General features: G+C 39.7%; 1 protein-coding gene and 1 long non-coding RNA gene across 42 annotated transcripts in view; one reads left to right on the forward strand and one right to left on the reverse strand.

Moving 5' to 3' along the window:
- LIMCH1 (LIM and calponin homology domains 1) overlaps positions 1-20,023 on the forward strand; it is a 340,438-nt gene that overhangs the window by 170,622 nt on the left and 149,793 nt on the right. For 2 of the 41 annotated variants that reach the window (NM_001330672.2, NM_001330786.2), the window contains exon 1: positions 7,929-8,122. The exons of the other annotated variants lie outside the window; for them this stretch is intronic. The gene's annotated coding sequence lies outside the window, so the exon portion shown is untranslated. Of the gene's footprint in view, positions 1-7,928; positions 8,123-20,023 lie in introns of those variants that run through there. 41 annotated transcript variants of the gene reach the window in all.
- LOC105374423 (uncharacterized) overlaps positions 13,226-20,023 on the reverse strand; it is a 38,461-nt gene continuing 31,663 nt past the window's right edge. Inside the window, exons 3-4 of the long non-coding RNA XR_001741667.2 lie at positions 14,987-15,141; positions 13,226-13,508 (exon numbers count right to left, since the gene is read on the reverse strand). This is a non-coding gene — a long non-coding RNA (uncharacterized LOC105374423). The remainder of the gene's footprint in view (positions 13,509-14,986; positions 15,142-20,023) is intronic.

The following is a 20,023-nucleotide window of genomic DNA, read 5'->3' on the forward strand; positions in this document are numbered from 1 at the left end:
TAACCTGAGTAGTATGAGTGAAAAGCCTTTATGCAGACTTCATCTTTTTAGGAGGATAACAATGCAATAAATTGGGGTCCTCACTGCTTTGGGTGTCTAGCTGTCAAGAAAAGGTTTCCTGCACATCCTTCCTAAGAATTAGCTCTGGTGTGCCTCAACTCATCCTGATCAATGTCTTCTCTTCTAGAACTTTACCTTCCCTCCAGTGGTTTATCTTATAGATTACCTTAGAAAAAACTGGTTAAAGTTCTGTTCTCCGGGCTCGGTCTCTCCTCCAGTTAAAATTGTTGTTTTTTGGCCAGGCATGGTGGCTCATGCCTGTAATCCCAGCACTTTGGGAGGCCAAGGCATGCAGATCACCTGAGGTCAGGAGTTCGAGATTAGCCTGGCCAACATGGTGAAACCCTGTCTCTACTAAAAGTACAAAAATTAGCCTGGCATGGTGGTGTGTGCCCGTAATCCCAGCTACTTGGGAGGCTAAGGCAGGAGAATTGCTTGAACCCAGGCAGTGAGCCGAGATTGTGCCATTGCACTCCAGCCGGGGCTACAAGAGCGAAACCCCGCCTAAAAAAAAAAAAAAAAAAAAAAAAATTTTTTTTTTTTTTTTTTTTTGGCCAGGAAGCAGGCAAGGCAGGGAAGAGGGAGGTTAGAGGTGAAAGTTACCACAGTGATAACCATCACGTATCACATTCCTACCCTGCCCCAGGTGCAGTGCTAGATCATCCTTCCTAATCTTTACAACACACCTGTGATGTTGTTATTGCTGTATCTTTACTCTAAAGTTCAAAGAAATGTCACCAGCTTTCCAACTAATAAGAGGCAGAGTTGGTACTTGAACCTGGGTTTGCCCAACTCTACATCTGTGCCTTTTCTACTGTGTTATACTCTCTCCATTAGACCCTAGGATATAGAATTGAATCTCAACACTTTCCGAACATTTGTTTGGAGACATCAACCTCTAAGGAGACCTAAGTTGTTAGAAATCAGACTCTCTCATTTAAAATTTATTAATTCAACCAAATTGAGGAAGTGGCCTTTTTGAAAAAGGCACTGCTACATGTAATGTTTCTACCATGGCCACTATCAAATCAGGCTTCATGTGGCCATACCTAACAAGTGATCATAGGAAAGCATTAGAATTCTTTACTGGAGTCTTAAAAAAAAAGTCAGAGTGATTTTATTCATAATATGCAGCAGAATTACCTAAAATGCCCTCCTCTCTTTCTCTTCTACAGTCTTTCTCTGTCACACACACACACACACACACACACACACACACACACACACATACACACCTTATACTTGCCAACTCTCCCAAACCTCTCTATGCCCAGTGACCTCAAATCTTTGAGCCTCACACTGTGCTAGTTCTTGCCTTCCTTGCTTCTTACCCTTTTGTCTGCTATGACTAATGGTTAGCTCTTTCCAGTGCAAATCAATCCAGCTAGACTCGGCTCCTTTTGCCCCTGATTCTGATTCTGGACAACAAAGACTCAGAGACAGGAAGACAGAATTCTCCTTCATGGGTAGGGGAGAAGGAAGGGCTTGGAATAAAAACCCTCATGTGTTTTTCCTGCTACTCTGTGTTCTCTGTAGTAGTTGCATGGTACGATCCGGAGTCTCCAGGGGTCGTCCTCCCCTTCTTTAGGGGAACAAGTAAAAACTGGTAGCCAAGCGATGTTCTGTGTGAAGAAGGCATATTCACTGAGGGAAATGAATAGACATTGTGAGGTTTCTCAGCCAAAATGGAATTTAATGACACACTTTCCTTTATCCTCATCCCTGGCACAGTATGAGAAACCTCGGTTGCGTTCCCACACCACACACAGAGGGAATGCTCAATTTGCTGCTCTCAAGTTTGATGCCAAAGCCAAGCCAACATAGGAGTGATGGTTAGCATTTTAGTAGGTCTAGCCATGAAAGACTACACACCGCAGGGAAAAACAACAAAACACACGAGGTCTTTGGTGCATTCCACCTGCATTCAATTGAAAGGTGGAATATGAACTTGGGGATTCTAAGTTTATTTACTGCCTCCCAGGTTGATATGGCTTGTGTGCTGCTGTTTGAAACAGCCTTTACAGTTAGCTTGTAAAAAATGTACAGGTCATCTCGTGTCCCTCATCTTCTCATAATTTTATATGGCTCCCTACTGAATGTGGAATAAAATCCAAACACTTCAGAAACGTATTTAAGGCTCTTCCTGAGTGAAAGTAACATTCGAGTAACATTCAAAAGTAACATTTATCTCTCACTTTGTACATCACACTCGGAAACCAGGGCAACAGATGGTTCATGACCTACACCAAAAGGCTTGACCACATCGTGAATACAGTGATAAAAGTGTGTCAGATGGCAAGAGCCATTCTCCACTGTAGGTTGGACCGGGTGAAGGGGAGTTCTGATGCCCACTGGAGCAGGCTGGCTTTTGGTTGTTCACTGATGTGCTTGGATCAGACCAATAAGTTAGTCCCCTTGCGCATCTTTTGTGGGTATTTGGGAAGACTTAATAAGAATTTTTTGTCCCTTCACTCATCTTGTGATTATTATGTCCTTTCTGGTTTTCTTTTATTTGGTGAGAGTTTTAGTTATTAATTGCTCTATAACAAATTACCCCAGAACTTAGTGGCTTAAAACAACAACATTTATCATCTCATTGTTCTCATGGGTCAGGAATATGAGCAAGGCTTAGCTGGGTCTCTGGTTCAGGGTCCCTCACAAGGCTGCATTCAAGGTGTTGGTCAGTATCATTTCCAGGCCAGAGTAGGGAGCTTAGAACTTCCGTTTCTAAGCTTACTCGTGGATATTGGCAGGATTCAGTTCCTCACAGGCTGTTGGCCAAAGCCATCCTTGTGTACTTGCCATGTGGGTCTTTCTATAGAACAGCTTACAGGGTTGCAGCTTGCATCATCAGAGTGAGCAAGCAGGAAGGGCCTGAGAAAGAAAGAAAGAGAAAGGGAGGGAGACAACAAGTGAGATGGAAGTCACAGTCCTTTATAACCTAATCTCTGAAGTGATGTTTTGTCAGTTCTGCCTTATTCTATTAATTAAAAGCAAGTTGCTAGGCCCAGCCCACATTCAAGGGGAGGAGGTCCCACAAGGGTCTGAATGCCAGGAGGAAGGGATCTCTGGGAGCTCTTCAGAAGCTGCTTGTCCCGATGAATGAAATGGTTGTATCCGTCTATTGAGCAGCCAGGGCATAGATCTCTCATTCTCCTGAACACCGGCTCCTTGTGCTTATAGGACTTTAAAGATAACACAGTTTTCCTTGGTTAACCTTTCTTGCATGACATCCAAGGACTTTTTTCTAATTTTCTTCTGCACATATATACCAAATAGAGATGATGTGTTCTCTCTCTTGCCTTCCAAGTAAAAATCCACTTCAAGACATAATTCCTGCCTTTTAGGAGACTACTTTCTAGAAGACAAATATAGAAGAAAGGTCAAATGTAAGGTAGACTGTGAAATGTTAATGAAGTATAATATGCAAGAAAGACCAAGGAAGAAATTTTGATTTGTGATTAAGAACTTTGGAAGGGGTGGGATTTGAACAGGGCGTCTACAAATAGTGAAGATCATGGAGTTAGAGGAAGAACAACTAGCTTCAGGGCATGGAATGAGAAAGGCTCTGAGTCAGAAGGACCTGGGTCTTATCTGGAAGTGGCTATCATTTGCATTATTTGCACTGGGTCCAGTGGCTGCAGCTGGACGCAGAGTCCCTGAGAAAATCCATGCTTGGAAACTAGACCAGGAATAGTAAGCTGAGACCAGAAATGCCATCTGGGGGTGTTTGGACTCATTTTGTGTGCAGTAAAAGCCACTGAAAACAAGGGAATCTCGTGTTCCAGATAACTGAGGTGGCCGTATAGAAAGCTGATTATGGCAAGATACCAGCAATAAAAGTCAAGTAGGAGATAAGTAGTCCAAATGAGAGAGGATGGACACTTAAACCTTAGTAGAAGCAGTGGGATTAGAGATGAGGAGACAGGATTTACTTTTCACTAAATGTAATATGCCATCAATGATGACACACACCATTTTTAAAAATTATAGCTCATTTAAAAAAGCTGCCAATTCAATGATGACACAATGCTAAGACACTGGCAATGAAAAAAATGCATCTTTATTTCAGAGGTTAAAAAAGGTGTACATCTTAGAACTGATGAAATACAACAGATAATTTTAGGAAGATGACATTTGCATTTTGGACTTGAGCAGTGTGGAGGGTACTGATGCCATTAATAGGAATCATGGGAACATGGGAATGAGAAATGAGCTCCAAAAGAAAAGATGCATTCTCTTTTGGACATATTGAGTTGGCTATCTCTAAAAGATATTCATGTGCAGATGTCTGGCAGACTATTAGAAATGCTGGTTTGGAACTCAAGGAAAAAGTTACAAAAAATTGGACTAGGTTAATGGATGGACTATTTTGAAGTTAAATCCTATGCTTCAGTATAAATGAAGACATATTTTTTTTTTCTATAACCACTATGAAGTTCCCCTCCCCCTCCAAATTATAGTATTGTCTTTGGAGTGTTTGATCCACATTGGCAGGGACTGGGATATGGAGAAAGGAGTGAAAAAAGGAGTTTGAGACTACAGGAAAAGTCATTAGCAATTGCACTTAGAATTGAAAATCATGACAGAAAGACCGGTGCAGTGGCTCATGCCTATAATCCCAGAACTTTGGGAGCCTAAGGCAGGTGATCGCTTGAGCCCAGGAGTTCAAGACCAGCCTAGGCAACATGGCAAAATCTTGTCTTTACTAAAAATACAAAAAATTAGCCAGGCATGGTTGTGCATGCCTGTAGTCCCAGCTACTTAGGAGGCTGAGGTAGGAGAATCACCTGGGCCTGGGAAGTCAAGCCTGCAGTGAGCTTTGAATGTGCCACTGGACTCCAGCCTGGGTGATGGGAGTCGGACCCTGTCACAAAAAAAAAAAAAAAAAAAAAAGAAAAGAAAAGAAAGATCTTCATATAATTGACAATTCATTGAGATATCATATCCATCCAATCTTGTGCCCTGCAGCCTCTCTTATACCCCTGATATTTCATTCTTAGTACTAGATGAGTATATTAATTTGCTCTGATGGCCATAACAAAGTACCACAGATTGGATGGCTTAAATAATAGAAATTTATTTTGTCAATTCTGTAGGTTAGAAGTCTGAGATCAAGGTGTGATCAGAGTGGGTTTGTTCTAAGGCCTGTCTCCTTGGCTCCCAGATGGCTGCCTTTCCCTGCATCTTCACGTGGTCTTTCCCCTGTATGTATCTGTGTCCATATTTTGCCTTTTTATAAGGACACTGTCGTATTGGATTAGGGCCCCCTCAGATGACCTCATATAACTTAATTACCTTCTTACAGTCACTACAGTCACATTCTGAGTTAGAACGGGTTAGGAGTTCAAGATACGAATTGGGGGAGGGAGGAGGAGACAATTTAGCTCGTAACAGTGGGTTAGCCAGCTAAGCCCTTAAATTCTTATTCACGTGTGTTTTGAATGCCTAGACTTGCTAGCTGAAGTCTAATATCCTCTTTCTGCACCACCACAAACTATTTTTCCAAATTTGTTTCCATAATTATTCTGTGTCTCTGCAGAGGTGGAAGGTTATATATAGCAGTGCTGTAAAGCTTTTTTTTCCCCAACTTCATTTTTTTTTCCCTTTCCTGTTCCCGAAAAAACAAAAAATGCCATTCTTTGAAGAAAGAAACCACTTGTTCTCCCTTATCTTTCGTTGAACAGCGTTTAGCAGAATTTGTGACATTACATCAGTTCCTCACTTTTTTCCCTTAGGAATAGACCTTCAATTACAAACTGTGAGCAAAAAATATATAATAGCAGGAAATACATATTTCAGCTGACGTCTGACTCCTTTTTTTCCATAGTTATAGCTTACCTAGAGGATAACTTTCTGTGGAACTAATTCTTAGCATGTATTCCAAACCCAGGTTTATAGGGATTTGGTTGTTTGACAACAGGAAAAAAATACCACCAAATGTATGAAGTATGAGACCATGCTAGGCTGAAACAGCACTTCTCTTAAAACGTGCCTTCCTCTGGATTGTTTTTGTAGGAAGTTTGTCTTGGCAAGCATTTCAAAAGAACTCGCTAGACGCCTCTCTTGTAATTAGCTGGCTTTCTGCTAGAATGTTAGGTCTACCTTCATCTCAAATGGTACAAAAATTAATTCCTCTCTGTCGCTCTGTCCACAGTATAAAATACTAGATTTCTGAGTAGTTTGATATCTAATTTTTCCTTTCTAAAATTTAACTATATTCAGTTTAAGTTTTTGATTTAACTTAAACATAACATTAAAAATAGGATGATTGATATAATGTTATATAGGAATGGTACTTTTCCTCTTTTCCCTCAGTGTTAAAAGAATGGTACTTTTTCCTCACAAAAACCTATATCCCCAGCCATGGAAAGAATATCAGACAAACCTAAATGGAAGGATATTCTACAAAATACCCGACCAGTATTCTTCAAAACTGTCAAGGCCATCAAAAGCAAGGCATATCTGAGAAACAAGGAAAGTCCAGAAAAAGTTAAGGAGACATAATGATTAAATATTATATGGCATTATAGATGGGATCTTAAAACAGAAAGAGCATATTAGGGAAAAACTAATGAAATCCAAATAAAACATGGATTTAGTTAATAGTAGTGTACCAGTGTTTATTTCTTAACTGTGATAAATGTAGATGTACCATAGGAATGTAAGATGTAAGACATGAGTTATACTGAAACTCTGCATATTATCTTTGTAGCTTTCTATAAATCTAAAAACTATTCTAAAATAAAAAGTTCACTTAAAGTAGGATGAATGACAATAAAGATAAAAGAGCATAATGCAAGGAAACTATGAAATAGGTAAGGAAATACAGAAGTTATTAATAAATATTAAATGTCAGCCTACCACTTGATGTATTTGTGTCAATAAATGGCAGGATACCAGTGAGTCCATTGGCATATTAATCCAATAAACTTTTATAAATGATGAATTGGTTGTAAACATTGTGTTTTATAGCATTTGAAAATTCCAAATGGTAACTCCGCACACGATGCTTCTGCTCACATATTTCAGCATCCTGCTTTTAGAATCTGCAGAAAGAAATAGTTCATGTCCTTTAGGGAGGTTTAATAAAAAGCAACAGGTGGAAAATGGATTTTGCAGTAGCATGAACAGCCATAACCATAAATACTAGTACCTCAGAATTATACCAGCAGAGGACTGTAAACACATTAATCTCCCAGCAGTGCAGAAATTCCATTCTCAGATGTCATCTCAATTTCAGGCACAAAGATTGAATGCCTCCATTTAAATTCAAAACACTGAAGGAATATGATGATCCTTTTTTTTCATGGGGATTCATGGAGTGAGTTTGCCAGTTTCCTCATCTATAAGATGGGGTTGATAAATCCCATCTCAGCATTGTGGGATTAAATGAGATGATATACATAAAATACCTAATATGATGGATGGTACACAGGATGTTTTCAATAAATGGTAGTTTACTTTTTATTATGCTCATGAACATTAGGATGGTCTTAGAATCCCAGAACTAGAAGCCACTTAGAGATTTACTTTTTGAAACATTGTTATTTTACAAATAAGGAAACTGAGACCAGAAGGCAGTGACTTGCCTGGAGTCAGGCAGCAACTTTGTTCCAGAGTTGGGACTGGAGTGAGTCTTTGTTCCTCGGGTCCCACTTGGGTGCTTTTTCTAGATCCAGATTTCCTGACAGTACTGCAAACCTACTGTGTGCTAGTGGCTGACACAAAGCTCTCTGCACAATTCCAATCCTGGCATCTCTACTTCTGAAGATGCCATTCCTTTTCCTCAGAGGGAATGGGCTTCTCCGCCTCCCTCTCCAATAGGTGTGGCAATCAGCTGTCTTCCAGTTCCCTTTCACTGCATCAGCATTTCAGCCGCAGCAGCCTGCTTGTGGACAGAGCAGGGGTTGGCAGTGGTGACGACTGTTTTGGGAAAGGAAATGTAAGGGCATTTCGGCTGCTGTGCTGGGGCTGACGAGGAGCACACAGGAGAGATGCCCCTCCCATCTCCCAGAGTGGGTTGGCTGGAGTTCATTGCGGAGCATGAGGACGTGTGGGGGTAAGTAAAATTCATTATAAAAGAAATACATGCTTAGGGGTATCCATGATGGAAAGAAGGAAGCTATTTAGACTTTAATACTTGGTTTAAAAAAAAGTGACTTTTTATTCACTTATTAGTATGGCGAAAATAATATGAAAATTACTTTCCTGTGGATTCATCTTGTCCTTTGATAACTGTTAGCACCTGTTGCTTTTAATTAAGCTTTTTTTTTTTTTTAATTCCCTAAGGAAAGCATTGTTTTTTATTTTCCGGTATGTGGTACAAGACACATAACTCCATTAGTTTAGTCAAAATAAAAAGGATTTTTGAGAATTTTGAGAATGAGAAGCAACTTGGCTGCATTTTTAAGATGTGGTCCAGCAGCACATGGTGTTGTGGGGGAGATGTGGCTGCATTCATGGTGGGGCTGCTTCACCTGAGCCCCTGTCACATTCTGCTCCTGACTCCACAGCCCCCTTTGCTTTTTAAAAACTTCCATTTCTTAAAATGAGGAGGAAAAGAAGCAAGGAAGACATTGGGGAGGCAGGGAGGAGTCTGGAGGGAAGGGCTGCATCTCCAGCCTTGCCCACTTAGTCCTTGTCCTTCATAGTCACTATTTACTGCAGGCCGGGAAAGGAATGGGGGTTATTTCTGGACAATTGTCTCATAAAATCCCGTCAGACCCGTCTGAATGCTAAACGTTCCATGGCACTGGTTATCTAGGGGAAGAAAATTTTCCTTAGCCAAATTTATGAGGCTGGGTTGAAAATCAGGTTGAAACAGAGCCTGGCGAATCCCTATGGCAAAATGATTCATCTTTGTGGAGTCGGGAAATCTATTTTTATCACCTTTATTCAGCCAGCTCCTGATTGTGATTCTCTCACTGAGCTACAGCCGTTTTCTTCATGGTGCTGAATAGACCAAATGTCTCAGGAGTCTGAAACTTCTCTCCTGCCACTCCCAGAGTGGCTGATTCAGCAGTCCCGGGAGAAGGGGTTTGTCCTGTGCTGCGCGGGTGGGTTCCGCACAAGGTGAAGGTCAAATAAAACCGAGAGGCTGCAAGTGTCAGCAGCCAGCCTTTGACTCAGGAATCCTGCCTGAGGGTATGTGCCACTCTGCTCTCCTGCTCTCTCTGTAAGGTGACTAGAAGGTGACTGGGCAGCCATAACTCCTCCAATTTTGAAGACCTTCCCAAGGGAAGAAGGGGCAAGAATAAGCCACCCTCCTTACAGCTGCCAATACATCTCCTCAATCTAATCATCGGGCAGAGAGGGACTTCCTAACACCGTTGTATTCATTTTCCCATTTCCATTTAGTTCTGTAACTATGCATTCCAGGCTGATACATAGTCCTAGCTGGTTCTTGCTGGAGTCCCAACTAATGCTGAGAGGAGTGGCAATTGTTCTCTATAATAAAGTTTAAAGGATAAAGATATGGAAGAAGAACTCACTCTTGAGTTTCCTTTTCTAATGGATTCAGCATGCTTACTCTCTGGGAGCTATAACAAATGGCAATTAGGAAAGCAACAGGAATGTTGACTAGACAGGAACAGTGACCATGGCTGTTGGGGGTATTCCCTGCACCTGGTATATAGTAGACACTCAATAACAATTTGGGAAATGAATGACCAGGATACTGTTCCCCATAGGCTTCAGTTGGCCTTCTTAAGAGCTCTCCTTCAGGACATAGTATGCAGGGCAGCTAGGAGCTGACATTCTAGAGTGAGATGGCCTGAGTTCAAATCCTGGATTTGCAGCTTCTCAGTTGTGTGCTGATCTTTGGCAGGCAACACAATCGTTTGTTTCCTCGTCTGTAAAAATGGACATAATATAGTAACTACCTTATGTGGTTTTCATGAAGAGTAAATTAATTAATATAGGTAAAGAGTCTAGATTTTTTTTTCTTGTCATGTGGTTCAAGATATGAAGAAGAAGAAAAACAGGAGTAGGAAAAGAAGGAGAAAGAGGAGGAGGAGGAACTTTGGCTGTTGGGATAAATTTGGGACCCTTTGAGATTTTGGCCCTGCCTTTTAGGTTGAATATTTCCCTAAAATCATGATTCAGTGATTTTTAAACCTTCTCTTGTCCTGTAGAGAGAATAATTTGAGAATAAAAGAATAAAACGGGCCAGATGCAGTGGCTTACGCCTGTAATCCTAGCACTTTGGGAGGCTGAGGCAGGTGGATCACCTGAGATCAGGCGTTCGAGACCAGCCTGGCCAACGTGGCGAAACTCTATCTCTACTAAAAATACAAAAGTTAGCCGGGTGTGGTGATGGGCACCTGTAATCCCAGCTATTCAGGAGGCTGAGGCAGGAGAATCGCTTGAACCCGGGAGGTGGAGGTTACAGTGAGCTGAGATCGCACCACTGCACTCTAGCCTGAAAAGAAAAAAAAAGAATAATAAAATGGATTTCAGGGGGAAAATGATGACGAATTATTGCCAAGAGTTATTGAACTCCTGCTCCTTGCCAGGTACTAACCATATTCAGTGTTGAAACAAACTGTCAGTCCTTGCCCTGATGGACGCTGCAGTTGACTTTCAAGGGCTGCTGGGCAGTGTGAATTCAATGGCTCAGCGAACACAGCTGCTACGTTCCTTGTTCTCTACCTTTTAAAAAGGAATGTTGAGTAGATCTAGAAGGATGAAGCTTTAAACTTAGCTCCCAACAGGAAATGAGGAGTGAGGAAGTAGGGAGAGATTTGTGTGTGTGTGGAGTAGCAGATGAAGTCTAACTGTACAGCAGTATAAAGGCAGTGAAAGAAATGTAGACGTGGGCATTGGATTGAACCATGAAACTGAAGGGAAATCCAAAGCAGTAATGTATCATCAACCTGTGAAATGTAAAGAAGCACAGGTAAGTAGTGAAAGAATGAAGGAACCAAAGCAGTTGTTGTAATGATATAAAATAAGAGCCATAGCTTATTAGACCCTTAGAGTCCCAAAGCCCAGCCTTGAGAGTGTAGATTCGGGAAGGCTGGATTCCTTTGGCATCCTCTCTTTTCAGCTCTGGGTACTGCCGCAGCAGGTGAGCTTGTGTTTGGTCCCTTTCAGAGTCTGGAGTCTCCCATCTCTTGGAAATACAAGGATATGTATGAGCTACCAACTCCCATCTGGCTTTACTGGTCTGTGAAACATTCTATTTTAATTTGGTGAATCCTTTTTTGACTCTAGAGATCTTCAGCAGTACCTGCCCTTCACACCGTTTCCTCACCTTTGCCAGATCTGCTTTTGAGTAGCAGTTTTATCCCTAGATGTCTTATAGCCCAGACCTGGTAAATCACCAATGTGAATTATAGAACAGGATCATTTTTCATCCTGCTTTCATCCCAGTGGCTGGATTAATTTTTGGATCTCTGCTTTCTGTAAGCAGTCATTTCTTCCACAGCAGCCATCTGTGAAGAAACAGAGCTTACGAAATGACTGGGGCATGTTTTACATGGCTGTGCTCAGTTCCTTCTGTTTGATTCCCATGTAAGCTTTGGCAGTGATTTCCACAAGCGTTTCTGTGGGAGGTGCTGGAGAATGACTTTGGTAAACAGCCCCTTGGCTATTGTTGGCCCTTTCCCTGCAAATACCATAAAGGACACAACTTGAAAAGTCGCTCTGGTTTCTGAGCCCCTCCTAGGGCCCACCCCAGGTCCGACATCTGAAAAGCCGAACTCAGCCATGCTTGTGGTAGAGCAGCGATGTGGACTGCGTCTGTGTTTGCCTGACTTCTGCTGGGCCACTCTGGGCTGGATGGGAGCTCTGACCATAGAGCTTACTCCCCTCCCCTCATTACACATCCTGGGATTTTCACACTAGCCCTCAATCTGTTGGAGTCTTTTTAGGTAGAATCTCATTTCATCTTCCTCGTTTCCGTTTCAGGTTTTCATTCCAAGAATGGAATGGCTGGTTCCATTGAGAACCAGCCTTAGGAGTTCTCAGTGTATTGATTTTATTTACACTGCTAGTGTTACATTTTGCTTTTAGGAATATGGAAAAGCTTAGGGAATTTTTGGACATGTGTTTTTCTCTCTTTCTTTCTTTTCTTTTTTTTTTTCCTGATGGCCAGAGGTTTCTGCTCTCAAATTACTCAGTCAGGGTAATTAAGGACTAAAAAAATGTGAATGTGTGAATTTAACAGTAAAAACTTAAAGGAAGGAAAAAATACCTTCCTTATAGGAAGAAGAGAAAAATGCATATAAATAAACTTGTTAGAAAGAGAAAACTGATTTACCAGCAACTGAACTCCCTTTTGTTTCTTGATTTTTTTGCCTTTAAATAGGCTGTGCTATTTCCTGAAGTTGACCCATTTTCCTTGCTTCTGCCAACACTCCCTTAAGATAAGTATTTATAAAGTTTATTCCACGTTGATATTTCAATTGTTTCCAGAAATCCATCCCATCATAGCAGCTTCCCTACTGCCAGGGAACCTGACCTCAGTATTTCCTGAAGTCAGAGGATGGTCTTATATGTATGTAAGTGCAGGTATCTACAGTAAGAGAGAACAACTTGCTATATAGGGCTCATATGAGTCAACGCCAATAAATTGAAAATAAGAACTGAAAAAATTGTAACATTGTCCTCACATTATTTTTAAAGCATTATCTGTTTCGATGCTGGCAAAACTGATTATCTTATATAATGGCCAAAGGAACTGTTCACTTTCAAGAAATAAGCAACTAGCCTGTCTTTGTTTTCATCAGCATGTTTTTTGGTGACTAATATGTTGATTTGATGAAAGCTAATTGCACAAACATGCGGTTTGTGGGGAAGAAGGTAACGCATGGAACTATGTCTAAGAGATGTGGGTGTTCATTCCATTGGTGGATCCAGCACTTTCTTCCTCAATAAAGAGTATTTGTTCCTAAAATAACTGGTGTCCTTCAAGGCACAGAATGTCTAACTCAGCTGAAGGTATTTAATTTATATTATAAATGTACATATATATTTTATGAATTTTAATAGAAATATATTAATTTACATTTATAAGTTTAAACATAAAAACATAAAATACATGAAATATGTTTGAGTGTATTGTTAGGGACATCTCTGAGCTCCTGTGGAGATAGTGTTTTTTCCCTAACATAACTTACATTTAAGAAAATTGGATTTTTCATGAAATTTACTCAAGTAAGACTGTAGGCTGAGTTTAATATATATGACAACTAAACTTTCGGCCCATATTGCACCAAATTAAAGCTTTCTTCTTTGTCTTTGAGCACAAGAATGAAAGCTGGCATACTGTCCGGTAGACTGAAATGTGTCCTCATGGTCATTTTGACCACCTTATGAGCATGATTAATTGACAACATGTTGTTACTATCTTAATTCTTTGGTCTGAGTCTCAGCTCCCGTGTCAGACCTCTGAGTCCCAAACATAGCGCCACAGTCTGGGTCTTCACATCTTGGCCAGGTTTCTGTTAAAAAAACAAAGGCGCCTCTGTGTTATACTTTTATGGAGCACATGTGGTGTGTATTTATTTTGTGATAGGTTTTTATCACTTGGTAGAAAGATGTTACTGTATCTTAAGTGAACGATTGTTTCACCCTGTTGCTCCACAGACCCTAGTTGTTTCTTTAAAATGGGCGATGGATTTTTAGGGGCGTATTCACAAACCTGCCATGAAAGTCTTTCTTCTCCAGATGTTTACTTCTATATTTTTATGTGAAATTCAACTTTTTCACCTATGGACATGCTTCCCTGCAGCAAATAACATGACAAACTCTTTGCCTTTATATTGTCTTTATATTTCAGATACCCCCCCACCCCCACCAAGCCTTCTCAATTCCAAACCTGTGATTATGCTGGATGCTTTACGTGTTATGCTCCGGCTTGTAATGGGCCAACTGAAAGATAAACTGCTATTAAATAAATCTATGACTCTTTTGAGAACAAATAGAGCTGTTGAAAGAGTTTAAAAACATAGTGACTCCTCGAAAGACTGTGAACATTCTTGAACCCTTTGAATCAAAGTGAATTTTCTTCACTCTCTGTGTGTGGGTATACACTGAAACTTATAAGAAAGAACCTCAGTAGCAAGATATTTGAAGGCTTTTGTGTTCTTAACCCTGCAAGGTTTTTCTTGGCAAGACTTGAAGAAAATGTAGCTGTCGTCTATTTTCTGCTCCTGTCGAGGGGAGCAGTTGAGTCTGGGAGGCCTCTAATGTGTCAGAGAGAAGCCTGCAGAGTAGAGAAGAGCCCAGAAGCCTCCAGGTGCCCAGTGGTTCCCTAATTATTCCATTACCTAGTTACCTGGTTTTCTATTACCTAGTTACCTAGTTATTCCATTCCATTCCACCTCCTCTCCAAGCAAGGCTGGGTGGTTCTTCTATTTTGATCTCTTCTCATGTGTCTCTGTTGCTGTGGAGCTGCAACATCAAAGCCTACCCCAGACCACACGTGTCTTCTGTTGCCACCACGTTTCCCTCTGGACACTGGATCAGCCTTACTGCCATTAGGATGCTTATGCTTCCTAGAAAGCCTCATTTATCTGTGCTGGGGCAGCTGCTGAGGACTACACAAGATTCACTGTCATGGGTTTAGCTTTCAGGGACTCCCCAACTTGCCTAAGTTACCTCTTGGGTCCTTGATTGAAACTCCAGTTGCCAAGTAATGAAGATACAGAATTTTGCATTGATCTCTCTTCCCTTTTCCATCTTTCCTGTTTCCATTCTGAAAGGAACTGCTCTGAACTGGCAAATGCCTACAGGGACTTCAGTGTCATAGGACAGGCTACTTTGACTCCTTTGTATAACCTCAAAGTCACTGCCAATACAAGGGTAAAACAGATTCTGTTCTTTGTACTCAAATTCAGTGTGATGTGAGTTGGAATGCTAAGAAAAACTTAAGAGATATTTTTAGCAAAAATGAAATATTTTGATGCCTATCGCTCACCTGAAAATTTTCCCAGATTTGCCATTTCTAGATTTTTAGCAGCTTCACAAAGGGGTATTGTGTTTGAGTCGGAAGAGAAAAATGTTTTTATTTCCTGTCCTTGACGTTTAGTGGAATTGATAAAAAGCATCAAGGATCTTTGAGTTCTGGATCTCCTGCAAAAAAACACATTATGTAAGAAAGGACTTGAGTGTTTTTTTCCTGTTCGTCAGTACGAGGGGAGAGTTACTGTGGAAAGTGAAGGGCAGTGATCATCAGGAATGGAAAACAAAGAGCTTTGCTAGAAAATCACAGCAAGGGTGATCAAGCAGTTACCCTATTATCTGGCTCTAAACTTAATGTTGACCTCGACAACGACTTTTACATCCTCCCCCCAAACAGGCTCCTTTACTCATTCCTGAAAGGACACTGTTGCAACTTGAGTTATAGGGTTGTTGGAGCTACCTGATGTTTTATTAAATGGTTATTTAATCAATAAATGAGTGAGTGATCATCTCTTATGGTTGATCAGAAAGTATTCATTTAAAAAGTCATAGGTTTAACTTTTTTAAAAGTCAAGTCAGCACAGAGCTTATGTATTTAAGCAGTTGGAAGTCAAAATATTAATATGTTCAGTCAAGAATATCCATTTCGTTTCATACTTACTTGGCAGTTTAATTTTTTTTTGGCCATAGTTTACATGGTCCAACTGTTAGGTTGCTTAAATTTGCCAATATGAAATATTAACATTGGGGTGAATGCTTTATGAAAACAAGAAATTGTTTCTGCTTGGTCTACCTGTTTATTCATTCATCAAGATTTCCCAGGCTCTGTCAACAGATTTCTAAGCAGATATTTGATGATATATTGTTATAGGAATAAAAAATATGTTATAGAAATAGAAAACTACCTTCCATGTAGAGTAGAAAGAAGCCTTCATTGGTCTGTTTTTTTTGTTTTTTTGAGATGGAGTCTCACTCTGTCACCCAGGCTGGAGTGCAGTGGTGTGATCTCAGCTCACTGCAACCTCCACCTCCCTGGTTCAAGCAATTCTCCTGCCTCACCCTCCCAAGTAGCTGGGAGTACAGGTGTGCGCCACCATGCCCAACTAATTTTTGTAATTTTCATAGAGATGGGGTTTCACCATGTTGGCCAGGCTGGTCTCGAATTCCTGAGCTCAAGTGATCTGCCTCTCTCAGCCTCCCAAAGTGCTGGGATTATAGGCATGAGCCACCATGCCCAGCCTGTATTTTTTTTTTTTAATAAAAATAATCCTTGGGCAGCTGTTTATGTTGTTCTGTTATGCTTGCCTATCTATAGAATGAAATCAATGTGGTTTTTTTTCTCAACTTTCTTCTTTTTTATTCTTTTTTAGCCCCATCATTCAGTCTCTTTGTTCCTAAGTCTTTCAGATGCTTTAACCACACTATTTTCTTACCTGATTTTCTGTTCCACTTAGCATGTTATTCCAGGCAATGAATGTGTTGCTTCCCCTGTGATAGATTATGGCACTAAAATAGTAATGAGCTTTAGTACAATCAGAGCAAAAATTACTCTCCTAGGTAAGCCCCATTCTTCCCCTAGCTCAATTCAGTGTTCCATTAGCCACAGAAATGCCAAGGATTCCACATACCTACATATATATATGGAGAGAGAGAGAGACAAGCGAGAGAGAGAAAGAGAGAGAGAGGTTGAGACCGAGATTGAGACAGAGAGAGCTAGTTCCCTGTCAGGTCTTTACTACTGGAAGAGTCAAAGATTTGCAAATGGAGATTTTTCTTTGCATCTTCTTCTTCCTATTATCCTTTTTTGTAAACAATGTTTATTTTATTTTTAATTGACAAGTAATAATTATATATATTTCTGGGATACAAGGTGATGAGGTGATGTTATGATGTCTATACAATGTGGAATGATCAAATCAGGCTAATTAACTGTCAGCTTGCTGACTTATTTCTTTGTGGTGAGAACATTTAAAATCTACTCTTCACACAATTTTGACATATACATTATTATCAGCTATAGTCGCTGTGCTGTCTAATAGATCACTGGAACATACTCCTCCTGTCTAACTGGAATTTCGTGTGCTTTGACTAACATGTCACCTTTCTTCACCCACCTGTTACCTCCTCCTTAGCCTCCGGTAACCCCCATTCTACTCTCTACCTCTATGAGTTTGGCTTTTTTAGATTCCAAGTATAAGTGAGATCATGTGGTATCTGTCTTCCTGTGCTTTTTATTCTTAAAGATATTAACTGCAGAGGCCCAGCTTCATCCCCTGTCTTAGCCACTTCCCAGCCCAAGGTGACCTTGGGCTAATAATTTAAGTTTCGCATTTTTTCATCTGTAAAATGATGATTAACTATAGTATTGACCTTATAAGACCATAGTAAGGATTAAATGAGCTAATATATAATAAAATATACAGATATTATAAATATATACATATATAATATATACAGATATAAATATATACATATATAATATATGTATGTTATATATACATATATAATAGTATACACATATATACATATATAATATATACATAAATAATATATAAAAATATAAAAATATAAACATACATATAATATACATATATTATAAATAAATACAATATAATATACATTATAAATACATATAATGTTTTATGATATATAATTTGTGTGTGTGTATATATATATATATATATATATATATATATATAAACAGTGAGTACATTACCTAGTGCATGGTATGTGCTCAGAAAAAGATGACTATAGTAATGGTGCTGGCAGGTGTTAATGTCATTCATATTTTTCCCTAAACCTCTATTTTCCCATCTATTAAATAGCATAGTAATAGTACCTAACTCATTAATTTGTGAGGAATAAAGGCATATGGATCAACGTAGCATGTTGCCTGGCACCTTATAAGATCTCAGTGAATGATGATGTATACTTCTGCAATGATACAGATCATTGCACTTCTCCTGTTTATCTCTACCCTTTGTTTAAGGCTTACACTTTAATCTATAATCTTACCATGAGGCCCTGAAATTACACTAGCCAAGTCAGTTTGAGCCAGTGATTTGCTTTCTTCATTTCTGTTTCTCATTTGTAAAATGCGAGTGTTGAACTGAGTACTCTGAATAGTTTCTTCCTCTAAAGTATTTTCACAACCATTTTATCTCACTCAACTCATTTTAAGAAATACCTGATAATGAGAAACTCATCCAAGAGAGCCTCTTTGCCCCCGCTCCACCAAAAACCTTACTAAACTAATCTCTTTAGTTGTTCAGTCAATTTTCTCTTATTCAAAAAGCTGGGCTGTTTTGTTTGATTAATGACACCATCAACTGGCCCTATCCCAGAGTGTAATTGATCAGTCCATAATTCCCCAAGTCATTCTTATTTCCTATGATTATATTTTTAATTTATAAACCCTTGGCCAGTTTCACCAAAAATTAAATCCTGATGCCTTCCAGATATATGTTCCAAATATTGAGGAACAGTATTCAATTTTGTCTCTTTGCCAGTGGCTGCTCTCACCTTGTTCCAACTCCCAAATCCCCATCTCGTTTTTTCCTTTTTGGAGAAGAGTCGTGAAAAACTGGTTTCCATTATAATTCCATCACCCCTAGAGGCAGGAGGACTAAGTATGCAGTGTGGTTTCAGGCCAAGAACATTGGACTGGAGGTGTAAAGAGCTGGGTTGCAGTGCTGGCTCTGCCTCCAGAGCTGAGGGGCTTTGGGCAGGGTAGTTTCTGTTGCTTTAGTCCTTAGTTGTCTCATTTGTGGAGTGAAAGATAAAACTGAATGATTGCTGAGACCTTTCTACCTGTGAAAACTCATGGTTTCTATTCTTTCCCATTTTGTCCCCTACTGTTAATTTTTTTTTTTAAAGACACTTGGTCTCACTATGTTGCCTGGGCTGGTCTCAAACTCCCAGACTCCAGCAACCATCCTGCCTTGGCCTCCCAAAGTGCTGGGATTACAGGCATACGGGCCACTGTGCTGGGCCTGTTAATATTAACTACCATTTATTTAGTACCTACAATATGCCAGATATTAATCTAATAATAGTTAACATTTAGTATGTGCTCACCATGTGCTAAGCGCTTTATTTCTATTCTTTACTCTTCACAGTAACCCAAAAAAGTAGATGCAACTAGTGTTCTTCTTTTACAGATGAGGAGACTGAGACACAGGGATGTGAAGTCCGTGCTCATGGGTATGCACTCGGTGAGGGATAGAGCCAGAAGCTGAACCCAGGAGGCTGATGCCTTGCCCTTGCCCTTAGTCATTTTATTATATAACATTCTTAAGGACTTCATTTTTTTCTTTTTCTCTCTACTATAGCACTAGGAACAATATAATAGTACCCTCACTTAAAAAATGAAGAAACCAAGTGCAATGAAGCTAAACAATTTGGCCAAAATAACCCAGCTAGCGTATGACAGAGCTGGGGATCAAACCTAAGTCTGGCTCCTAACCACCGTGTTCCAAGAGCAGAGTGGATTTCTTACTTCTGTCACATGTATCTTGTGGGTTAGTGATAAGCAAAGTATAGTACATTTTAAAAAGAAGGATACTTTTGCTTTCTGTTCATTAAATTTTTTAAGCATATAAGATAGAAATTTTGCTAGATTTACTTGAAGAAACAGATAGAAATCATTCTGTAATCAACACGATTTATATGTGGATAGATTCTTTTTATTGAGTAAGATTATTACAGTTTAATCTAGTTTCTGTCGGATTTGTCTTCTATTTCAAAGAATGCTGTCTGAATTATTAGGTTGGTACAAAAGTAGTTGTGGTTTTTGCCATTAAAAATAATGGCAAAATAAAAAGTAATGGCGAAAACCACAATTACTTTTGTACCAACCTAATAATAAAACTTGGCCATGTACCCAAATTGTAAGAGACGGCAGGCTTCACCCCCAGTATCCTCAGTGTGGCTGCCATTTCTTATGCCCACTGTCCCTCATGCTGCTATTTAAAAACTGATTATCCTGTTTACAAGGTGAGACTCAAAATTTGATATAGAATCTAATTGGTTAATTTTATATTGTGTGTATGTA

The sequence above is a fragment of the Homo sapiens genome, chromosome 4 (assembly GCF_000001405.40).
Source record: "Homo sapiens chromosome 4, GRCh38.p14 Primary Assembly".
In the NCBI taxonomy this organism is placed as follows: Eukaryota; Metazoa; Chordata; class Mammalia; order Primates; family Hominidae; genus Homo; species Homo sapiens.